The sequence below is a fragment of the Homo sapiens genome, chromosome 2, assembly GCF_000001405.40.
Source record: "Homo sapiens chromosome 2, GRCh38.p14 Primary Assembly".
In the NCBI taxonomy this organism is placed as follows: Eukaryota; Metazoa; Chordata; class Mammalia; order Primates; family Hominidae; genus Homo; species Homo sapiens.
The window spans coordinates 123,591,603-123,597,161 of NC_000002.12; positions in this window are offsets into that span (position 1 = coordinate 123,591,603).

Genomic DNA, 5,559 nt, shown 5'->3' on the forward strand with positions numbered 1-5,559 from the left:
GCATCCCCTGAAGGCATGACCCAGGATCTACACTGGCCCCTTTCAGCCATGGCTGGAGCAGCTGGGACATAGGGCATCAAGTCCCTAGGCTGCACACAGCACAGGGAGTCTTGGCCCAGCCCTCAAAACCAATTTTTCCTCCTAGGCATCCAGGCCTGTGATGAGAGGGGCTGCCATGAAGACCTCTGACATGCCCTGGAGACATTTTCACCATTGTCTTGGGAATTAATATTCAGCTCCTTGTTACTTATGCAAATTGCTACAGCCAGCTTGAATTTCTCCCCAGAAAATGGGATTTTCTTTTCTATTGCTTTGTCAGCCTGCAAATTTTCCAAACGTTTATGCTCTGCTTCCCTTGTAAAACTGATTGCCTTTAACAGCACCCAAGTTACATCTTGAATGCTTTGCTGCTTCGAAATTTCTTCCACCAGATACCCTAAATCACATCTCTCAAGTTCAAATTTTGCAGATCGATAGGGAAGGAGCAAAATGCTGCCAGTTTCTTTGCTAAATCATAACTAGAGTCACCTTTGATTCAATTCCCAACAAGTTTCTTCTTTCTATCTGAGACCACCATGGCCAGGACTTTATTATCCATATTGCTACCAGCATTTTGGGCAAAGCCATTCAACAAGTCTCTAGGGAGTTTCAAACTTGCCCACATTTTCCTGTCTTCTTCTGAGCCCTCCAAACTGTTCCAACTTCTGCCTGTTATCCAGTTCCAAAGTTGCTTCCACATTTTCGCGTATCTTTTCAGCAGCACCCCGGTACCAATTTACTGTATTAGTCTGGTTTCACAATGCTAATAAAGACATACCAGAGACTGGGTAATGTATACAGGAAAAAGGTTTAATGGACTTACAGTTCCACATGGCTGGGGAGGCCTCACAATCATAGTGGAAGGCAAGAGGAGCAAGTCACATCTTACATGGATGGCAGCAGGCAAAAAAAAAAAAAAAAAAAAAGACCTCATGCAGGGAAACTCCCCCTTATAAAATGGTCAGATCTCATAAGATGTATTCACTGTCATGAGAACAGCATGGGAAAGACCTGCCCCCATGATTTGATTACCTCCCACCAAGTTCTTCCCACAACAGGTGGGAATTTAAGATGAGGTTTTGGTGGGGACACAGCCAAACCATATCAAAACTTAAATATACAAATCCCACTTATTCATTTAGTTATAGGCTAGAACCCTATAGAGGCTAAAAAGAATGTAGAACCATTGGTTGAGATATTGCTCAAAGTTGTTCCTGTGCAATTTTCTGTTCTATCATTTATAAATGTTGATCAAATACTTTTTTAAAAAGTAGGTAATTTTAATAACAAAAGTAGTATGTGCCTTGAAAAAGATGCAATAATAAGTTTGCAAATTTAAAGTCAAAGTTGTTCCATCATCTGTACTTCTAATATATAGAGTAAGTAGTGATAATTTATCTCAGATATGCTTCTGTATATTTATCTTCCTAGTTTTTTTATTCATTTTTAGTAGATAACACATCATGATAGTTAAATATTCAGACAAATATATGAGAAAATCTTTTCCATGTCTGTCCCTATGAAACCAGGTCTTCCCCACCCAAAATGGATAATCATATTTTTTAATTTCTGTATTCATCTAAAGATTTTAATGTATCTACAAATACTAATATATATTTCTTTTTTATACTTTTTACTTATTTTTAAGATGCTATGCACCTCATTCTCTACTTTGCTTTTTTATAACCTAAAAACATATTTTGAAAATTTTTCGTATCATTACATAAAGCTCCTAATTCAAGCAACATGATTGTATAATGACTACATTAAGAAGAAATTCTGGGCACAGGGCAAATTACAAATGTACATAAACATACTCCCTTTCACTAATAACTATTTCATCTAGCAAATGGGTAGAGGAAGTAGGAAAGAAATATCATGTAAAACAGTTCCAATAAAGCCCACAAGAGTAATGTAGGCACTAAACAGTGTAGAAAATATTGGTAGAAGGTCACTTTCAAATAGGAAGTTTTTATGTGTGTTCGCAATAGAAACAAGTAATTTATCCTGGCTAAGAAAACAGGAAAAAACATTCTAGGGAGATGGCAAGGGCCGGACCAACCTCATGGTCAGAAAGTGTAGCATTATGGGGGAAAAAAGCAAATACAAAAATGGCCACATAAGGTAATAAAGATTGGCATATGAAGGTGTTTGAAGGTATTGGCTCCTTCATGATTGCCCTATGAAGGGAACTGAAGTGAAAACAGACCCAGTGTCAAATTCTGGCTCCCACCTGTGGCCTTATTACTGGGTCACCTAGGAGAGGAAGGAGTTTATGTTTGAAATAACCAGCGAAAGCCTTTCTGGAAAGATGCCTAAGTAGGGAATTAAATGGAGTGTGATGATGTAAGTTATGCAAGTCCCATGTGCTATGGACTGAATGTTTGCATCTCCACAAAATTCATATGTTGAAGCCCTAACTCCCAATGCGATGGTGTTTGGAGGTGGAGCCTTTGGGAGGTGATTACGTTTAGATGAAGTCTTGAGGGGAGGACCATCATGATAGGATTAGCGCCACTCTAAGATGAGACAGGAAGACCAGAGCTCTCATTCTGCCTGTACCATGTGAAGGCACAGTGAGAAGAGTAGCATCTGCAAGCCAGAGAGTGAGCCCTTACCAGGGATCAAATCAGCCAGCATCCTCCCATTGGATGGCCCAGCCTCCAGAACTGTGAGAAATAAATGTCTGTTATTTAAGCCACTCCGTCTGTGGCATTTTGTTATAGCAGCCTACACTGCAAATGTGATGACATGGAATAAAAAGGTAGGTATGGCTGGGGTATAGGGAGCAGGAAGTAGAGTGAAATGAGGTGAGACTAGGGAGGAGAAGAGCCACAACTCATGTGGATTGTGTTCACCAAGATAAGGGGTGTGTATTTAAGAATACAGGACATGTGGCCGGGTGCGGTGGCTCACGCCTGTAATCCCAGCACTTTGAGAGCACGTCTCTACTAAAGATACAAAAATTGGCCAGGCATGGTGGTGCGCATCTGTAATCCCAGCTACTTGGGAGGCTGAGGCAGGAGAATTGCTTGAACTCAGGAGGCGGAGGTTGCAGTGAGCAGAGATCACGCCATTGCACTCCAGCCTGGGCAACAGGGTGAGACTCCGTCTCAAAGAAAAGAATACAGGACATGGAAATCTATTAGAATGTCTTAGACTAAACATACTGTGTATAAAGAAATTAGTACTGTTTCTGCCCCATGGTTAGTGTCAAAATGATGACTATTATTCTTATTTATCCTAGATAGTAAGGTTGGCATAGGCATCTTTTCAATAAATTATTTCCACAGGACCTTGATAAATTAGGATAGATTATAAGCTATGTCATGGTACATGGGACCAAAATTAATACCGGATTAATATACAACCCTACTAATAGAGAATCAGAAGTATCTTTATGTACATAGAAAAGAAGAGGATGGGTTCCGAGTGTGAAATGTTAGGAGCTGCGGTCGGCAACAAGACAGGGGCTAAATCAGGCAGAGTCATGTAGGCCTTGGTAAAGGGTTTAAGCTTTTACTTTGAATGAGATGAAAATCCATTTGAGGCTTTGAGTAGAGGAGTGAAATGATGTGGCTTTAAAAGTTTACGCTGACTTCTGTGTGGTTGGAGGAGAGAAAGAATGGAGATCAGTTAAGAAGACGCTAAAATCACCAAGAACAAAGACAATAATAACATGGACCAGGGTGGTAGTTACGAAGTGCTGTTAATTGGTTAGATTTTGGATATATGCCAGTGGAAATCAAAATAAGTTTGCTACTTGATTGACTGTGCTCTGTGAGACGAAAAGAAGACACAAGACTATAATGCAATAAAATTGTACTTTATGTCTGTGTCTGCCTCCCTAAAACCCATCACCCCAGTCTAATAAAGGGAAAAGCAAATTCTAACAGAGGGACATCCTACAAAATACCTGACCATTACCCCTCAAAATTCGCAGGAACATCAAAAACAAGGCAAGTCTGAGAAACAGGCACAGCCAAGAAGAGTCCAAGCAGATACGATTGTTAAATTGCCTTCGTCAGTTCAAGATTCAATGATAAAAATACAGTAGACTGGCTGGCTTAAACAAAAAACATCTTTCCTCATGATTCTGGAGGCCAGTTAGTCCAAGATCAAGGCATCAGCAGATTTGGTGTCTGCTGAGGGTCCTCCTCTTGGTTCCTAGACAGCATCTTCTGATCTCTTAGATCAGAAGACATCTCTTGATCTCCTTATCAGGTCACCAACCCCATTGTGGGGCTCCCCTGTCATGACCTCATCCAAGTCCAATTACCTTCAAAAGATCTCACCTTCAAACCCCATCACATTGTGACCTCAAAATTTTAATTTGGGGGAAACACAAACATTCAGTCCATAGCATAAATGTAATGTCATATCTTGGATGGGATACTATATTTTTTTAAAAAGTCCATTAGTAAATACTAAGGCAAATTGAATGAAGTATGGACCTAATTAATTAAATGTGTCAAAATGTATTAATAGTTACAAATTTTCTATACTAATGTAAAACGTTAACAATAGTGGAAACTGGCTAATAGCTAGATCTTCACTTTTTTTGTAAATCTGTAAAGGAAAGCCTATATATAAGAAAAAAAGTAGAGTCCAGAATGACTGAAATTTTATGTCCTGAGCAACAAGACAAGTGCAGTTGTCATTTAGTAAAATGGAAAGAGTTGGGGGAGGAGACCTGGTGTTCTACAAAGTGGTATGACTTGCTTCTCCCTTCTTCCCAGACATTTACCTACTCCATCCTCAAGACACAGAGACAGAGGACTTATTGCCACATGAGTACCCAAGGCTACAACAGTCAGGTTTAAGAAAGTTTCAGTTTCTCAGGATGACTTCTTGGAAGAAGTGGTGACTGAGGAATGCATTGAAGATGGGAAGTATTTGTTTACATAGAGAGGATAAAACACTTCATTGCAAGGAACTTCATTCCTACCTTTGTAATCCCACATTTTTATTCTGCATATTTCCTTGCCTCTTTAGTTGATATGTATTCCCATTTAGTAGAGTTGTTTTGATTAACTTTTGCCCTTTATTCACGTTCATTTACTCTCTTTTTCTCAAAGCATGTTTATTATTAAGTAGTAGATAGCCCTTTGGGGACACATTAATTTTCTTAGGAATCCTTTCCCATGCTACATTGGTGTCCTTTATCTTCTTGTTCCATTTGGTTGCAGTCAGCACTTTTTCCTGTCTTGTGAAATGTCTCTGATGAATTGCATTGCTCTCACTGCTATTATTACAAATAGGTGATGCAACTCCCCACCATCTGTAATAACTGTGCTTACAGAGACACATTAGCTGCATTTAAAATTATAACTCCTTCATAATATTCTAAATAATTCTTCTGAAGCACAGGAATAGAAATAAACTGTGAGGTTGCTGATTCCCAGCTATGTTTACTTCAGGCAGCACTGAACTAAATCTACTACAAATATGGAGGCTTGCACATATGTAACAAATATACTTATCAATTTTTACCACTTTTAGGGATTAGTCATAGTGTCT